The sequence below is a fragment of the Homo sapiens genome, chromosome 5, assembly GCF_000001405.40.
Source record: "Homo sapiens chromosome 5, GRCh38.p14 Primary Assembly".
Taxonomy (NCBI): Eukaryota; Metazoa; Chordata; class Mammalia; order Primates; family Hominidae; genus Homo; species Homo sapiens.
In genome coordinates, this window is record NC_000005.10 from 179,533,953 (window position 1) to 179,552,524 (window position 18,572).

At 46.8% G+C, this 18,572-nt stretch overlaps 1 protein-coding gene and 2 long non-coding RNA genes across 10 annotated transcripts in view, besides 2 other annotated features; 2 read left to right on the top strand and 1 right to left on the bottom strand.

Annotated features, from left to right (window-relative positions):
- LOC128966623 (uncharacterized) overlaps window positions 1-18,572 on the top strand; it is a 130,785-nt gene that overhangs the window by 11,496 nt on the left and 100,717 nt on the right.
- LOC105377762 (uncharacterized) lies at window positions 593-16,552 on the bottom strand. Of its 3 annotated transcripts, none has more exons than XR_941315.4 (4): window positions 15,992-16,552; window positions 6,723-6,880; window positions 1,813-2,189; window positions 593-1,372 (listed from the first exon to the last, which is right to left on the bottom strand). It is a non-coding gene; the product is annotated as an uncharacterized LOC105377762 (long non-coding RNA). The 3 variants fall into 3 exon arrangements; XR_002956240.2 differs by lacking the exon at window positions 15,992-16,552 and having other exon boundaries at window positions 1,813-2,006; window positions 2,082-2,189; window positions 6,723-7,068; XR_941314.3 differs by lacking the exon at window positions 15,992-16,552 and having other exon boundaries at window positions 6,723-7,068.
- Window positions 10,685-10,744: an enhancer, noted in NCBI's record as "active region_23750". NCBI's record gives its function as "activates an Ori minimal core promoter by ATAC-STARR-seq in GM12878 lymphoblastoid cells {active_cell/tissue: GM12878}" and the evidence as "EXISTENCE:reporter gene assay evidence [ECO:0000049][PMID:35858748]".
- Window positions 16,527-17,236: a silencer, noted in NCBI's record as "silent region_16730". NCBI's record gives its function as "represses an Ori minimal core promoter by ATAC-STARR-seq in GM12878 lymphoblastoid cells {active_cell/tissue: GM12878}" and the evidence as "EXISTENCE:reporter gene assay evidence [ECO:0000049][PMID:35858748]".
- The window catches only part of RUFY1 (RUN and FYVE domain containing 1), a 59,459-nt gene continuing 57,488 nt past the window's right edge, over window positions 16,602-18,572 (top strand). For all 6 annotated transcript variants that reach the window (XR_245276.4, XR_245277.4, NM_025158.5 and 3 more), the window contains exon 1: window positions 16,602-16,927. Coding sequence is in view for 4 of the 6 variants with exons in the window: in NM_025158.5 (NP_079434.3) it covers window positions 16,618-16,927 (310 nt within the window). In the remaining 2 variants the exon portion in view is untranslated. The remainder of the gene's footprint in view (window positions 16,928-18,572) is intronic.

Sequence of the window (18,572 nt, forward strand, 5' to 3'; positions counted from 1 at the left end):
GACGAAACGAGACTCTGTCTAAAAAAATTAATGAATTAATTAAAATAAAATAGTCAAACTCACAGAAGCAGAGAGTACAATGGTAGTTTCCAGGGGCTGAGGGGAGGAGGAAGTGGGGAGTTGCTGTTCAATGGGTTGAAAGTTTCAGCCCATTGATGAACGTGTTATCTGCTGCACAACGTCATGCCTGTTCATAATACTGCACTGCCCACTTAATTTGTGAAGAGGGTAGATCCCATGTTAAATGTTCTTACCACAAATTAAAAACAAAAAGAATCAGCCAATTAGAAATCCTTAATTTTAGTAATTTTTTATTTGAGGTAAGTTATCTTCTGAGGTTTTAAAGTAAAGAAATAGGCCAGGTCCAGTGGCTCACACCTGTAATCCCAGCACTGTGGGAGGCCTGGGTGGGCAGATAGCTTGAGCTCAGGAGTTCAAGACCAGCCTGGGCCACATGGTGAAACCCCATCTCTGCAAAAAATACAAAAATTAGCCGAGCGTGGTGGTGGGCGCCTGTGGTCCTAGCTACTTAGAAGGCTGAGGCGGGAGGATCGCTCGAGCCCAGGAGGCAGGAGTTGCAGTAAGCCAAGATCATGCATGCCACCGCCGAGGAGACAGAGCAAGACCCTATCTCAAAAAACAACAACGAAAACAAAAAAAAACCCTTACACAATGTTGACTCTAGATTGGTGCAACTCACCGTATGCTAAAGTGAAAGTGTAAAAGGACAGATGGAGGAAAGGAAGCATGGGTAAATAAGGAGGCGTGTGATAACGCAGTACAGCAAAGTGTTTACTCTAAAACCTAGGTGATTGTAAGAGTGTTCATTCTGCAATTCTTTCAACTTTTCTATATGATTTTCTGGACAAAATGTTAGAGGGAAACACCAAAAACAAAACTATTTGTCATATAAGTCTATGTCTGTAAGTAAATGTGAAGGAAACTGTCTATATGGATACCCAAAAAGGGAAGGGAAGGAATTGGGCAGGTGGGGGGCGGAGGGGGTAAGGAAGTTTGGAGAACAGAAACTTGCACTTTTGCTTTTCCATGTTTTGATTTTTTGCAATGAGAATATACTCATGTAGTCCTGTGCTATTTTTTTATGTAAAAAGCTCAGCATGTGAGAGTCCCCACAAGCTCATGAGGTAGCATCACTCTTGTGCAGAAGAGGAATCCTAGAGCCAGACAGTTACAGGGGTCCACCAAGGTTACCTAGAGTCAGGAACGACAGGGAGGACAGGAACGAGAGTCTGGTCTGTGCTCCTCCGGGTAAATAGGCTTTGGTAGAAAGGTCTGGGGCCTCCTCTCCCTGCCTTGCCCAGCCCTTCCTCCTACCTTGGGCTGACGTACACCAGCATCCCTTCATGGTTGTCTGTGGGGCAGGAGACACACATAGCTGCACTCCTGGGGTACTCCCAGGCCTGAGCATCCACCTGGATGTCCACATTGGATGTGTCCTCTGCCCCCCAACTCACCCATGCCCAGCTCAGCAAGCCCAGTGGATACTTCATTCTCCTCCCGTAGCCCATGTCCAACCAACAACCACAGCCTCCCCATCGCCCTTCTCCAGCATCTGTGGTCTTAGACTCCCTTGTGAAATCCCCACTGCTTCTGCCTCAGTTCAGTCCTCATCTCTCACCCGGATGACTGTGGATAGTTTCCCAACCACCACCATGCCTGGCTAATTTTTGTATTTTTAGTAGAGACGGGGTTTCACCATGTTGTCTAGGCTGGTCTCGAACTCCTGACCTCAAATGGTCCGCCCACCTTGGCCTCACAAAGTGCTGGGATGACAGGCACGAGCCACCTCACCTGGCCTACACCGGCATCAATTTTGAAGAACTCATGATGTTGTTCACTGAGAAGTAGATGAACTTCCAACTCTGTGCAGAGCGGAGCTTCTGGACTAGTGTGGCCATCGGGCTATTAGCTGTGCAGAGATATTATGCCCTTGGCCCAGAGATGAGCAGGTAAAATTCGGGGGAACCAGACTTCCCGAGGGTTACCTCTGCAGCAAGCAGGCTCGTCCATTTACAACGCTGTGTTATACAACAAACAGTGTCCCAGGTCCCGAGGGTTACCTCTGCAGCAAGCAGGCTCGTCCATTTACAACGCTGTGTTATACAACAAACAGTGTCCCAGGTCCCGAGGGTTACCTCTGCAGCAAGCAGGCTCGTCCATTTACAACGCTGTGTTATACAACAAATAGTATCATGTCCCAGGGGGATCATAATGTGAAAAAGATTAAGAGGCACAGCTTTAGAGAGTGAGAATTTCTGGTCCTAATAAAGGAATGAAAAGACCATAAAGTTTGAGAATATTGGCTCAAGAAACGATTAGGAAGAACCACCTACCCTAGAAAAGTGAAGATTTTAAAAAAAAAAAAATCAAAGATGATCTCTATCACTTTGCCACCTGTTTGACGTGCAGTGGAAACTGGTTAAGCCAGTTGTTTATACTTCGTTTACAAATATAAAGATAGCTGTTTAGGATATTTTGTTAAATTTTTGAAATGCTAGTAATGTGTTTTCACCAGCAGGTATTTGTTGCAAACTTAATGTCATTTTCCTTAAGATGGTTACAGCTATGTAACCTGTAGTATTCTGGACAGACTTGTTAAAAAACAGACAAAAAGAAAAATAAAACAAAACTTGAGTTCTGTTTATCTTGCACATTTTTTGTTGTTACAGTGAAAACAAAAATGGTCCAAGAAAATGTTTCCCATTTTTTTATTTTTTAGTTCTTAGCTGGAACATTTAGAAAGAAGGAAATTAATGTGCATTTTATTAATTCCTAGGGGCACAAGGAGGACAATAATAGCTGATCTTTTGAAATTTGAAAAACGTCTTTAGATGACCGAGCAAAAAGATTTTTAAAAATGGTAATGAAAATGGAATGCAGCTACTGCAGCTCATAAAAATTTTAGATAGCAATTCCTACAACCGTATGCTTTTATAGCTAGACAGGAGAATTACGATAGCATGAGTTGATTCATTTTATTACTTTTCTTCCCTTTCTCATACTTTTATAAATAGGTGATAAAAAATGTTTTGCCTGCCAATTGAATGATTTCGTAGATGAAGTAGAAATATTTAGGTTTCCGTAGCATTAAATTGTGAAGACAACTGGAGTGGCACTTAGTGAAGAAACTCTCTGTATGTCCTAGAATAAGAAGCAATGATGTGCTGCTTCTCATTTTTCTCGCATTTTAAATTATCAGCCAACCTACAGCCATTATCTTTTTTTTTTTTTTTTGAGACGGAGTCTCGCTCTGTTGCCCAGGCTGGAGTGCAGTGGCGCGATCTCGGCTCACTGCAAGCTCTGCCTCCCGGGTTCACGCCATTCTCCTGCCTCAGCCTCCCGATTAGCTGGGACTACAGGCGCCCGCCACCACGCCCAGCTAATTTTTTGTATTTTTAGTAGAGACGGGGTTTCACCATGTTAGCCAGGATGGTCTCGATCTCCTGACTTCGTGATCCACCCGCCTCGGCCTCCCAAAGTGCTGGGATTACAGGCGTGAGCCACCGCGCCTCGCCTACAGCCATCATCTTTAGCACGGTGATATCACCATGACTTCATAGACATGCTCTAGAATCTGTACCTTTACCCAAATATGAAGAATAAAATTGATTAAAGGTTTAAAAAAAAATAGGCTGGGGGTGATGGCTCACACCTGTAATCCCAGCACTTTGGGAGGCTGAGGTGGGTGGATTGCTTGAGTTCAGGAGTTCAATACCAGCCTGGTCAACATGGTGAAACCCCGTCTCTACTAAAAATATGAAAAAAATTAACCAGGCGTGGTGGCGCATGCCTGTAATCCCAGCTACTCAGGAGACTGAGGTGGGAGGATTGCTCGAACCCGGGAGGTAAAGGTTGCAGTGAGCCGAGAACTGCACTCCAGCCTGGATGACAGAGTGAGGCTCCATCTCTAAATAAATATTTAAATTAAATAGCCACTCATGATGGTTCATGCCTGTAGCCCCAGCTACTCAGGTGGCTGAAGTGGGAGGATCACTTGAGCTCAGAAGTTTGAGGCTGCAAGGAACCATGACTGCACCACTGCACTCCAGCCTGGGTGACAGTGCAGTGACGCGATCTCCGTTCAGCAACCTCTGCCTCCCGGGTTCAAGCAATTCTCCTGCCTCAGCCTCCCAAGTAGCTGGGACTACAGGCACCCACCACCACACCTGACTAATTTTGTTTTTGTATTTTTAGTAGAAACGGCGTTTCACCCTGTTAGCCAGGATGGTCTCGATCTCCTGACCTCGTGATCTACCTGCCTCGGCCTCCCAAAGTGCTGGGATTACAGGTGTGAGCCACCGTGCCCAGACAATATAATCATTTTTTTAAATTAAGAATTGAATAAAATGCAAGATTACATTAAAAGTATGTATCAATGTTTAATGTACTGAAGGTGAGACTTTATCACGGTTACATAAGAGAATATCCCAGTTCTCGAAAAATAGGTCCTGCTGTTGGTAGGAATGTAAATTAGTACAGCCATTATAGAAAACAGTATGGAAGTTCCTCAAGAAATTAAAAATAGAACTACCCACGTGATCCAGCAATTCCACTTCTAGGTATATACCCGAAGGAAATGAAATCAGTATGTTGAAGATCTATCTGCACTCCTATGTTCATTGCAGCGTTATTCACAGTAGCTAAGATATTGAAAAAACCTAAGCGGATTTATGGATAAAGAAAATGTGTTGTGTGTAAATGTGAAGGAAGGCAGGCGAGGTGGCTCGTGCCTGTAGTCCCAGCTACTTGGAAGGGAGAGTCAAAGGATTGCTTGAGGCCAAGAGTTCCAGCCTGGGTAATACAGTAAGATTCCATCTCTTTTTTAAAAAGGAATGCAAGTCAGCCCTTAAAAAGAAGGAAATCCAATAGGCGCAGTGGCTGATGCTTGTAATTCCAGCACTATGGGAGGCTGAGGCAGGTGGATCACCTGAACTCAGGAGTTTGAGACCAGCCTGGGCAACATGGAGAAACCCTGTCTCTACAAAAAATACAAAAATTACCTGGGTGTGGTAGCACACACCTGTAGTCCCAGCTACTTGGGTGGCTGGGATGGAAGAATCACTTGAACCCGGGGAAGCTGAGGAAAGACAGCGCCACTGCACTCCAGCCTGGGTGAGGGAGTAAGACCCAGCCTCAAAAAAAAAAAAAAAAAAAAGGAAATTCTGTCACTGTGACAACTTGGATAAACACGGAGGACATCATACTATGTAAAATAAACTAGGCACAGAGAAACAAATACTTAATGATCTCACATGTGGAATCTAAAACCTCAAACTTATAGAAAGACAGAGTAGAATGGCGGTTATCAGGGGAGGGCTGGGGAATGGGGGTAGGAAATGGGGAGATGATGATGAAAGGAACGGAGTTTCTGGAGAACTAATGTACATATAGCATGGTGACTATATGTAATAGTGTATTGTACACTTGAAAAGTGCTAAGAGAGGCCAGGCGTCGTGGCTCACACCTGTAATCCCAGCACTTTGGGAGGCCAAGGTCGGCAGATCGCTTGAGGTCAGGAGTTCGAGGCCAGCCTGGGCAACACGGTGAAACCCCATCTCTACTAAAAATACAAAAATTAGCCGGGTGTGGTGGTGCACACCTGTAGTCCTAGCTACTCAGGAGGCTGAGGCAGGAGAATCACTTGAACCCAGGAGGTGAAGGTTGCAGTGAGTCAAGATCGCACCACTGCACTCCAGTGTATGCAATAGAGCGAGACTCCATCTCAAAAACAACAAAAAAAGAAAATTGCTGGCCGGGTGCAGTGGCTCACACCTGTAATCCCAGCGCTTTGGGAGGCTGAGGCAGGCAGATCATGTGAGGTCAGGAGTTCAAGACCAGCCTGGCCAACATGGCGAAACCCCGTCTCTACTTATAATACAAAAATCAGCCAGGCATGTTGGCGGGCGCCTGTAATCCCAGCTACTCAGGAGGCTGAGGCAGGAGAATCGCTGGAACCCGAGGGGCAGAGGCTGCAGTGAGCCAAGATTGTGCCACTGCACTCCAGCCTGGGTGACAGAGCAAGACTCTGTCTCAAAAAAAAAAAAAAAAAGAAAAAAAGAAAAGAAATTGCTAAGAGAGTAGACTGCAAATGTTCTCACCACAAAACAATGAAAAGTATGTGAGGTGATGAATATGCTAGTTAGCTTGATTTAATCATACATATACCAAAACATCACATCATATAGCATAAATATATATAATCTTTATATGTCTGTTAAGCTTTAATAAAGCTGAAAAATAACAAAAAGAGATGTATCTCTATAAAACAGGGTTTTTTTTGTTTTTGTTTTTGTTTGAGACAGAGTATCAGTCTGTTGCCCAGGCTGGAGTGCAATGGCTCAGTCTCGGCTCACTGCAACCTCCGCCTCCCGCATTCAAACAATTCTCCTACCTCACCCTCCCAAGTAGCTGGGACTACAGGCACGTGCCACCACACTCGGCAAGTTTTTGTATTTTTAGTAGAGACGGGGTTTCACTATGTTGGCCAATCTGGTCTCGAACTCCTGACCTCGTGATCTCCCCACCTTGGCCTCCCAAAGTGCTGGGATTACAAACGTGAGCCACCGCGCCTGGCCAAAACAAAGTTTTTCAAGTCCTAACCAATGCATCATCTTAATGCAATAAAATTTGAATATAATTTTTTAAAAAGAAATATATCCTGAAAAGTTTAAAAATAAAAGGTCATGATGTATGTAACTCACCCTCACAAAGTCCAAGGAAAAATGTGCTTATATCCATACAGATCTAGAGAGGGAGCACATGCAGATGATGACACGAATGAAGTAAACGTGAGCTCCAGGTGAATTGGGGTCAAGGGCATACAGTTGTACTTTGTGCCATCTTTATTCTCGTAACTCTTCTGTAGGATTGAAATAACAAAAAGCTTTTTAAACTATTAGGGTCTGGAATTTCCTTTGAAATACACCAAAGAGTAAGAGTAATAGATGAAATTAGGAATGATAAATGGATAGATATGGTAAAAGTGTTATAATCTCTGTTCAATTTTCTTTTTTTTTTTTGAGACAGAGTCTCGCTCTGTTGCCCAGGCTGGAGTGCAGTGGCACAATCTAGACTCGCTGGAACCTCCACCTCCCGGGTTCAAGCGATTTTTGTGCCTCAGCCCCTCTAGTAGCTGGGATTACAGGCATGCGCCACCACGCCCAGCTAATTTTTGTATTTTTAGTAGAGATGGGGTTTCACCATGTTGGCCAGGCTGGTCTCAAACTCCTGACTTGAAGTGATTCACCCATCTTGGCCTCCCAAAGTGCTGAGATTGCAGGCATGAGCCACCGCACCCGGCTTATCTTCAATTTTTTTTTTTTTTTTTTTTTTTTGAGATGGAGTCTCACTCTGTCGCCCAGGCTGGAGTGCAATGGTGCGATCTCAGCTCACTGCAACCTCCACCTTCCAGGTTCAAGCGATTCTCCTACCTCAGCCTCCTGAGTAGCTGGGATTACAGGCACGCGCCACCAGGCCCAGCTAATTTTTGTATTTTTAGTAGAGACGGGGTTTCACCATGTTGGTCAGGCTGGTCTTGAACTCCTGACCTCGTAATCTGCCCGCCTCGGCTCCCAAAGTACTGGGATTACAGGCGTGAGCCACCTCGCCCAGCCTCAGATTTGTTTATAATAAAATGGTGTGGGGCAGAGAGGAGAACAAGACAAATCAATATGACGTGTCATGGAAAAATGTCACCAAATCAGGAAGTCTTTTGTTGTAGAAGCCACTGGAAGGGGCGTAAAGCCCACCTTTCTTTTCATACTGTCTCCCGGTATTTCCTCTGAAAGCAGGAGTTCAGCTGCACTTGAGATTCTTACTACCCTGTGGCTGGTATGAGGTGCCAAACAGGGAAAGGATTGGTCACTTCACCAACGTAATGACAGCTCTCTCTTAGAGACACATTACACAAATCCTCAGGTTAACTTTTTTGCAAGTCCTTTAATAAATACAAGATTATTTTCATAAAATAACTGCCATGTTCTGATTTATCCTAGCAATAGCACCTACACCCCATTTAGTTACAACCACCACAAAAAGCTCTGATGTTCCAAACTCAAGATAGACAGGGTCCTCTTTATCTGAAGATACTTTCCCCAAGTCCCTGCAGCTACAAGACCATTTGGAGAAGCAAAGGTATTCGTAATGATAACATATTCACTAATGAATTAACCACTTAAAAACTGATCCCTATTCAAAATTTACTCCCTGCTGAACCCCAAAGCATCGATCCCCATGTCCCATACCAATGGCCAGCCAGCCTCTCACTCGTTCTCAGATGTCTAGGATGCCAGTCATTTGGACGGTTAAATTGTGAATCTTACACACAATGCAAGATTTCACAGAATCAACAAGTGACATTAAAGCCCCACTCGAGTGGCATACAAAGCCACCGACAGGCGAGGTCAGCAGAGTTATGGACCAATCAACAAGTGAACAGAAGGAAATTAACGCTGATGACTCACCAGGAGCTTCAAAATAGAATGGTTTGAAAAAAGCAATAAATTTAAAATGAATTAAAGTGAAGAGTGAGCTTAGGCTCAAAATATAAAGGGAACAGCAATATCATAAAATGGCTTTTTCTATGAGATATCCCATAAAAATATCCAGAATGGGCCAGGTGCGGTGGCTCACGCCTGTAATCCCAGCACGTTGGGAGGCTGAGACAGGTGGATCACGACATCAGGAGATCAAGACCATCCTGGCTAACACAGTAAAACCCCGTCTCTACTAAAAACACAAAAAATAGCCGGGCGTGGTGGCTGGCGCCTGTAGTCCCAGCTACTCAGGAGGCTGAGGCAGGAGACTGGCGTGAACCCAGGAGGTGGAGCTTGCAGTGAGCCGAGATTGCGCCACTGCACCCCAGCCTGGGCGACAGAGTGAGACTCCATCTCGAAAAAAAAAAAAATCCAGAATGACTAATAACATGGTGAATGGGATAATTACTTTACCACTTTTGGTCAATTAGCTGAGGACTAGCTAAATCCAAAGAGATGTAAATAAAATGAAAATAGAGACACCAAAAAATTGACTACCAAAGAATTAAAGAGGACTTTGAGAGGAAAATGAAGTCTAAATATTTTTAGACTCTCTTTCTGACTCTACCGTGAGTCAGATGTAAAATGAATGATATCTTGAATCATGTAATTTTCCAGAAAAATTATGCACAAAAGTCAACACTTGTTCATTCTTGATTCGTTCTAAAAACTAGCACACAGTTGCAAACATATTCTAAATTTTGTTATATATAAGATAAACTTATTTTCATAATTTTTGTTTTTATTATCCAAAATAAAATCTCAGTCAAGGTTTTTGTAGGGGCTTTTCACCATTTATGAAACATTGATTCTTGTTTCATATGGACTCACTTTTTTATACATCTTTTTACTTTTTGTTTTTTTGCGATGGAGTCTCCCACTCTTGCCCAGGCTGGAGTGCAGTGGTGCCATCACGGCTCACTGCAAGCTCCGCCTCCAGGGTTCACAACATTCTCCTGCCTCAGCCTCTCCGGAGTAGCTGGGACTACAGGCGCCCGCCACCACATCCGGCTAACTTTTTGTATTTTTAGTAAAGACGGGGTTTCACTGTATTAGCCAGGATGGTCTCGATCTCCTGACCTCATGATCTGCCGCCTCGGCCTCGCAAAGTGCTGGGATTACAGGCGTGAACCACCGCGCCTGGCCTTTTTTTTTTTTTTTTTTTTTTTGAGATGAAAGTCTTGCTCTGTCGCCCAGTCTGGAGAGTGCAGTGGTGCGATCTTGGCTTACTGCAACCTCTGCCTCCTGGGCTCAAGCAATTCTCCTGCCTCAGCCTCCTGAGAAGCTGGGACTACAGGTGTGAGCCACCATGCCCAGCTAAGTTTCGTATTTTTAATTGAGACAGGGTTTCACCATGTTGGCCAGGCTGGTCTCAAACTCCTGACCTCGTGATCCACCTGCCTCGGCCTCCCAAAGTGCTGGGATAATAGGCGTAGGCCACTGTACCCAGCCCATCATTTTTACTTTTTTTTTTTTTTTTGAGACGGAGTCTCGCTCTGTCACCCAGGCTGGAGTGCAGTGGCACGATCTCGGCTCACTGCAAGGTCCGCCTCCCGGGTTCACACCATTCTCCTGCCTCAGCCTCCCGAGTAGCTGGGATTACAGGCGCCTGCCGCCATGCCCGGCTATTTTTTTGTATTTTTAGTAGAGACGGGGTTTCACCGTGTTATCCAGGATGGTCTCGATCTCCTGACCTCATGATCCGCCCGCCTCAGCCTCCCAAAGTGCTGGGATTACAGGTGTGAGCCACCGCGCCCGGCCCATTTTACTTTTTATTATGAAAACTGAGACATTCAGAGAAGTAAACAGAATATAACTCTTTTATACTCATTACCTAAATTTAAAAGTTTTCAACAATTTGCCATTTTTGCATCATCTATTTTATTTTTTGGAAGTATTTTAAGGTGAGGTCTAGACATCCTGACATGCTGCTACTTAAGAGACTAATGCAGCTCCTAAAAAGAAGGGAATTTTCCTATGCAAGCACAATCCATTATCACATCTAACAGAATTTACAGTAATTCCATAATATCACCTAGTATCTAGCCCATATTCAAAGTTCCCCAATTAAAAAATGTCTTTCCCAGCAGATTGCTCTGATCTCATCAGGGTTGTCTCTTGGGGTTTACAACAGGTGCTGTTTTCACTTCCTCCTTTCTCCTCTACGTTTTCTGCAAACTGGAAGCTAGATCTCAAGCTGTGCTGGCCAGTACAGTAGTCACCAGGCACATATAAATTTAAATTAATTGAACTGAAGTAAAATTCAGCTCCTCAGTCATGCAAACCACATGTCAAGTGCTCAGTAGCTGCTTGTGGCCACTGGCTATCTTACTGGACAGTGCAAATGAAAAACATTCCCATCACCTCAGAAGGTTTTGTTGGACAGTGCTGCTCCAGATACCTGATGTGTTTTTAAGCAAACTTTTTTTTTTTTTTACCATTTTGCTTTTCATGATCATACCTCAGACTTAATTTTTTTTTTTTTTTTGAGACAGAGTCTTGCTCTGTTGCTCAGGCTGGAGTGCAGTGGCACGACCTTGGCTCACTTCAACCTCCACTTCCCAGACTCAAGCGATCCTCCAGCCTCAGCCTCCCAAGTAGCTGGGATCACAGGTGCCAGCCACCACGCCTGGCTAATTTTTGTGTTTTGTAGAGATAGGTTTTCACCATGTTGCCCAGGCTAGTCTCTACTCCTGAATCAAAGAAATCCGTCCGCTACAACCTCCCAAAGTGCTGACACTATAGGCGTGAGCCACCGTGCCCAGCCTAGGCAAACATTTTTGGCAAGAAAACTTCATATAGCATCGTTCAGAAAATGATTTCACTGGCTGGGCGTGGTGGCTGACACCTGTAATCCTAGCACTTTGGGAGGCCGAGGTGGACAGATCACTTGAGGTCAGGAGTTAGAGAGTAGCCTGGCCAACATGGTAAAACCCTGTGTCTACTAAAAATAAAAAAATTCCGAGTGTGGCGGCAGGTGCCTGTAGTCTCAGTTTACGGGCTGAGGGTGGAGAATCGCTTGAACCAGGAGGCGGAGGTTGCAGTGAGCTGAGATTGCACTATTGCACTCCAGGCTGGGCGACAGCAAGACTCCGTCTCAAAAAAAAAGATGGTTTACAGCGAGGTGCGGTGGCTCACGCCCGCCTGTAATACTAGCACTCTGGGAGGTTGAGGCGGGCAGATCGCTTGAGTCCAGGAGTTCAGGACCAGCCTGAGCAACATGGAAAAAAACCGTCTCTACTAAAACTACAAAAATTAGCTGGACATGGTGGTGCACACCTGTAATCCCAGGTACTCAGAAGGCTAAGGCAGGGGAATCACTTGAGCCTAAGAGGCACAGTTTGCAGTGAGCCGAGATCGCACCACTGCACTCCAGCTCGGGCAACCCAGCAAGACTCTGTCTCAAAATATATATATATAACTAAAAAATGCTGGCCGGGCGCAGTGGCTCACTCCTGTAATCCCAGCACTTTGGAAGGCTGAGGTGGGCGGATCACGAGGTCAGGAGATCGAGACCATCCTGGCAAACATGGTGAAACCCTGTCTCTACCAAAAATACAAAAAATTAGCTGGGCATGGAGGCGCACGCCTATAATCCCAGCTACTTAGGAGGTTGAGGCAGGAGAATCACTTGAACCCAAGATGCAGAGACTGCAGTGAGCAGAGATGGCACCACTGCACTCCAGCCTGGTGACAGAGCGAGACTCCATCGCAAAAAAAAATTAAAAATTAAAAAAAAAATTTTAAATGCTAAAGGCCATCTGAGCCTTCAGTGAATCATAATCTTTTTGCCAGTGGAGGGTGTTGCCTTGATGTTGAGGGCCTTGGTCTGGATTACGTTTTCACTTAGGGGAATGTTGTGGTTGATTTAATCTTCTATCCAGACCACCAAAACTTTTTCCTTATCAGAAATAAGGCTGTTTCACTTTTTTTTTTTTTTTTGAGACAGAGTCTTGCTCTGTTGCCCAGGCTGGAGTGCAGTGGCCTGATCTTGGCTCACTGCAACCTCTGCTTCTTGGTTCAAGCGATTCTCATGCCTCAGCCTTCCAAGCAGCTGAGAATACAGGCGCAGCACTGCACCTGGCTAATTTTTGTATTTTTAGTAAAGGCAGGTTTTCACCATGTTGGCCAGGCTGGTCTCAAACTCCTGGCCTCATGTGATCGGCCGCCTCAGCATTCCAAAGTGCTGGGATTACAAGCATGAGCCACCACACCTGGCCAGAGTAGCACTTTTAATTTCCAGCAAGAACTTTTCCTTTGCATTCACAACTTGGCTAACTGTGTGCAAGAGGCCAAGCTTTTGGCCCATCACGGCTTTTGACGTGCCTACCTCATTAAGCTTAATCATTTCTAGCTTTTGATATAAAGAGAGAGACATGCAACTCTTCCTTTTACCTGAACACTCAGAGGCCATTGTACGGTTATTAATTGGCCTAATTTCTTTTCCTTTTTCTTTTCTTTTTTTTGGTTGGAGATGGAGTTTCACTCTATCGCCCAGGCTGGAGTGCAGTGATGCAATCTTAGCTCACTGCAACCTCCGCCTCCCAGGTTCAAGCAATTCTCGTGCCTCAGCCTCCCCAGTAGCTGGTATTACAGGTGCCTGCCACCACACCCAGCTAATTTTGTATTTTTAGTAGAGACAGGGTTTCACCATGTTGGCCTGGAACTCCTGATCGCAAGTGATCTGCCCACCTTAGACTCCCAAAGTGCAGGGATTACAGGTTTGAGCCACGGCCTAATTGGCCTAATTTCAATATTGTGTCTCAGGGCACAGGGAGGCCCGAGGAGAGGGTAAGGGAGAAGGAAACACGTGGTTGGTGGAGCAGTAAGAACACATACAACATTTATCAATTAAGTTTACCATCTTATATGGGTGCAGTTTGTGGTGCCCCAAAACAATTAATAATAGTAACACCAAAGATCACAGATCACAAATCATATAACAGATGTAAGGGTAGTTTAAAAGTTTAGAATATTTTGAGAATTACGAAAATGTGAAACAGAGGCACAAAATAAGCACGTGCTGTTGGGTTGCCAACAGCAACTTTTTCTTTTTTTGAGACGCAGTTTTTTTTGCACTTGTCGCCCAGGCTGGAGTGCAGTGGTTCGATCTCGGCTCACTGCAACCTCTGCCTCCCAGGTTCAAGCGATTCTCCTGCCTCAGCCTCCAGAGTAGCTGGGATTATAGGCTCCCACCACCACGCCTGGCTAATTTTTGTGTTTTTAGTAGAGACGGGGTTTCGCCATGTCGGCCACGCTGGTCACGAACTCCTGATCTCAGGTGATCCACCCACCTGTGCCTCCCAGAGTGCTGGGATTACAGGCGTGAGCCACCGTGCCCGGCTGCCAAAAACTTTAATTTGTTAAAAAAGCAATAAAGCGAAGCACTATAAAATGAGATATATTTCAATATGTAAACGAGGCACAACTACCACTGAAATAACATAGACATTTGCACGTGTAATTCTGAACAAATCAATTTAGCTACGTTCCAGGAAAATTTAGGGTACACTTATGGTAGTCATTACACTGCTCACAAAGATTCCCAGTTGTGGTTTTCCCAGACAGAAATAGGTCTGAACTTCCCAACTCCCTAGAAATTAAACGTGGCCATGTGATTTGCTTTCACCAATGAAATGTGCATAAGTGACCTTTGTCATGCAGGACTGGAGCATGTAATATTTATGCAAAACTCCCAACAGGCTGGGTCCTGAGAGACTACAATGAGTTGGGCAGAGTACTCACCCCATCTACATTGACATGTAGCATGATGAGAAACCAGCTTTTAGGTTAAGCCATTGAGATTTGGGGGTTGTTACTGAAGAATAACCTTGCCTGATAAATGTTGAAACTGTTCCCCCAAAAAAGAGTTAATGTTTTTATACAAAATGGAATTCGGTTCCACGCCCTGATCATTATAAACAAACTTTTCACCTACATAAATGTCCAGTAGCATTGGAAAGTCATGAAGGATTCGGGACAATGCTGTTATTCTAGACTATCTTCATCCCTGTCTATGCATCCAGTAAAGACTAGTAGGGCCGGGCTCAGTGGCTCACGCCTGTAATCTCAACACTTTGAGAGGCCGAGGCGGGGGAATCACGAGGTCGAGAGATCGAGACTATCCTGGCGAACATGGTGAAACCCCGTCTCTACTAAAAGTACAAAAATTAGCCAAGTGTGGCGCCACGCCCCTGCAGTCCCAGCTACTTGGGAGGCTGAGGCAGGAAAATCGCTTGAACCCGGTAGGCAGAGGTTACAGTGAGCCGAGATTGCGCCACTGCACTCCAGCTTGGTGACAGAGCAGGACTTGGCCTCAAAAACAAACAAACAAACAAGACCAGGCCGGGCGTGGTGGCTCACGCCTCTAATCCCAGCACTTTGGGAGGCCGAGGCTGGCGGATCACGAGGTCAGGAGATCAAGACCATCCTGGCTAACACGGTGAAACCCCGTTTCTACTAAAAATACAAAAAAAAAAAAAAATTAGCCGGGCGTGGTGGCGGGCACCTGTAGTCCCAGCTACTCGGGAGGCTGAGGCAGGAGAATGGCGTGAACCCGGGAGGTGGAGCTTGCAGTGAACCGAGATCGCGCCACTGCACTCCAGCCTGGGCGACTGAGCGAGACTCCGTACGAAAACAAACAAACAAAAAAGACTGGTAGTATGCCCTCAGTCATTACACAACTCAAACACCAACTCCACAAATTCCCAAAACACTCCTAGATGAAGTGGTATCCCTTCACTGAGAACTGGCCTTTCAGGGACCAGACATATCATGCAACCTAGTGAAGTGGGCTGGACCAAGACAGGTCCAGGGAGCAGCTGGGCGTCTAAAGGGGCAGCACAGTTTATTCCCAACAGTTTGTTGCCATCTGGGAATATGCCATGAGTTACCAAATATTCCAGTGATTCCAGAGAAAGCTAAAATCCAGATTCTTATGTGAAATCTTTTGATTTCTAAATATTGGCAACAAGTTTTAAGATTTGTAAACATTCTGGGAATCAAAACAGCTCTGCTGGTTTGGTGTGGCTCATGTTGCCTCACTTTGCAAAGTGTTAAGTGCTAGTAAATTTTAGTGTTTTTTCTGAGACAGGGTCTCACTTTGTCGCCCAGCCTGGAGTGCAGTGGCCATGATCTCCGCTCACTGTGGGATCGACCTCCCGGGCTCAAGCGATCCTCCCACTCTCAGCCCCCCAAGGAGCTAGGAGTAGAGCTGTCCCGCCACGACATCTGGCTGGTTTTTTGTTGTTGTTGTTGTTGTTGTTTTGGTATTTTAGTAGAGACGGGGTTTCGTCCTACTAAAGGCCCGCCTGGGCCTTCCGAAGTGCTGGGATTACAGGCGTGAGCCACCGCGCCCGGCCAAAATTTTCCTTTGTACTTACTCAAATTCCTTTCTTTTCCAAGTGAAGAAACAGACTGAGTGTATAGTGACTTACCCAGGCCACACAGTTGGATACCAGAGATAGTAGTCACAATCGCTAACATCTGCCATGTGGTCCTTACTGCAAATCTTATTTAATAATGAGGTCGGTTTTTGTTATCCCACTTAACTAATCAATAGGAGAAGCCACCTCTGATTTCCAGTCCACTATCGTGCACTCTTTCTTGCCAAGCCGTCATAGTCATTAGATTAAAAAAAAAAAAAAATTCCTGCTTTCCTGCCTCGCCTGTGCGTTTCCTTAGTCGCCCTTTCGGGGCTTGTTCTAATGAGTGCTACAGAAAAATGACGAAGTGGAAAATATAGACCATGAAATGAAAATTTAAAAGAGGAAATGGTGTCACAAAGACAACGACGGCCAGGGAACCCCGTGAAGCGCCGGGCAGGGTGCACAACTGTCCTCGGAGAAAGTTCAAGAGGAACTTCCCCGCGAACAGGTCCTGCCGGCGGCCGGGAATACGCACACTTTTTATGTTATGACTTGGACTTTCCCGAACCTTTCGAAACAGAGGGAAGGCGAGGCGGTGAAGAGGGAGAAAAATCTCCCCCACCTAAGGCAAAGGCGATGCCCGCCCGCCCCCACCCCGCGCCCGCCCGCCCGCTGGGTCACATGACACGGCCAAGATGGCCGACCGGGAAGGCGGCTGCGCTGCTGGGCGGGGGCGGGAGCTGGAGCCGGAGCTGGAGCCGGGGCCGGGGCCCGGGTCAGCGCTTGAGCCGGGAGAAGAGTTTGAGATCGTGGACCGAAGCCAGCTGCCCGGCCCAGGCGACCTGCGGAGCGCAACGAGGCCGCGGGCGGCCGAGGGCTGGTCGGCGCCCATCCTGACCCTGGCACGCAGGGCCACCGGGAACCTGTCGGCGAGCTGCGGGAGCGCGCTGCGCGCGGCCGCGGGGCTGGGCGGCGGGGACAGCGGGGACGGCACGGCGCGCGCAGGTAGGCTCGGGCCGGGTCTGTCCCGCGGCGGACTCGCGTGTCCCCGCTGGCCGCCGGCGCGGGCGCGGTGGGGGCCGGGCTGGGAGGGCACTGGCCGTTCCGGGAGGTTACGCGAGCTGTTGGCGGGCGGGCGGCGCCTGGCTGCGCCTGGGTCTTTACTCCGGCGGCCCAGCCGAGACCGCCCCCCGCAGCCCCGCGTGCCTGAGCGCGCTCCCGCACCCGCGCCTCTATGCTCTCCCACTAACTAGGTGAAGGACGTGTGCGCGTCCGGGCTTCGGAACTCTGTAGTAACTCCACACACGAAACGGAGCCAGCACTGTTCTGCTTTTCAGCCGTTCAGTGCGGGAGTGGAGCGCCGGCGGGTGTTGGGAGGGCGTGGGCCCTGCGCGCAGCGGACCAGCGGCGCCTCCGCTCACCTCTGCCTGTGAGATGGGGATTTTAAAGTCACCCGATGATCTCTTAAAGACCTTTTCAGCCCTTGTAATGAACAGAGTGCCAGCATATCAGTGATAGTAAGAGTTAAGTAACTTAGCCCTCTAACGCCAGACATCCAGAGCTGTGCTATCCAATACAACAGCACGCATATGTTTTTGTGTGTGTGTTTTTGTTTTTATTTATTTTTATTTTTTTGAGACCGGGTCTTGCTCTGTCGCCCAGGCTGGAGTGCAGTGGTGCGATCTCGGCTCACTGCACCCTCTGCCTCCCGGGTTCAAGCGATCCTCCCTCCCGCCTCAGCCTCCCGAGTAGCTGGGATTACAGGTGCCCACCACCACGCTCGGCTAAGTTCCCCGCCCCCACCCCCCTCCCATATTTTTAGTAGAAACGGGGTTTCACCATCTTGGCCAGGCTGGTCTTGAACTCCTGACCTTGTGATACACCTGCCTCGGCCTCGTAAAGTACTGGGACTACAGGCTTGAGCCACCGCGCCCGGCCGGATTCCTCAATTTCTAACTGAATCAATTGAAATTCAGTACTTTTAAATTGAATTAAAAATTGAGTTCCTCGGCCGGGAGCGGTGGCTCACGCCTGTAATCCCAGCACTTTGGGAGGCCGAAGCGGGTGGATCACGAGGTCAAGAGATCGAGACCATCCTGGCCAACATGGTGAAACCCCGTCTCTACTAAAAATACAAAAAATTAGCTGGGTGTGTTGGCATGCACCTGTAGTCCCAGCTACTCAGGAGGCTGAGGCAGGAGAATCGCTTGAACCTGGGAGGCAGAGGTTGCAGTGAGCCGAGATCGCGCCACTGCACTCCAGCCTGGGTGACAGAGCGAGACTCTGTCTCAAAAAAAAAAAAAAAAAAAAAAACTTGTTCCTCGATTACAGCGGCCACATTTTAAATGCTCAGTAGCCTGTGTGTGGCCAGTGGCTACTGTATGAGATAGCACATAATAGAACATTGCCAACTTCATAGAAAATGCTGGGACAGAGCTGAGGAAAGGTTGTGGTGCCTTCCAAGGAGCATCATAGCACACACTCGAGGCTTCCTGATTCCTCCCCATCCACTGGTACCTTTGCTGTAGATGCACTGACCCCAGGTAGTGAATTGTGAGATTTTCAGTGGTCAAGAATAATTACTGAGTAAAGTTGAAAGGCTGACTCGTTTTGAGATCCTGGCAGTGGAAAATAGCATTAGAGGATGATG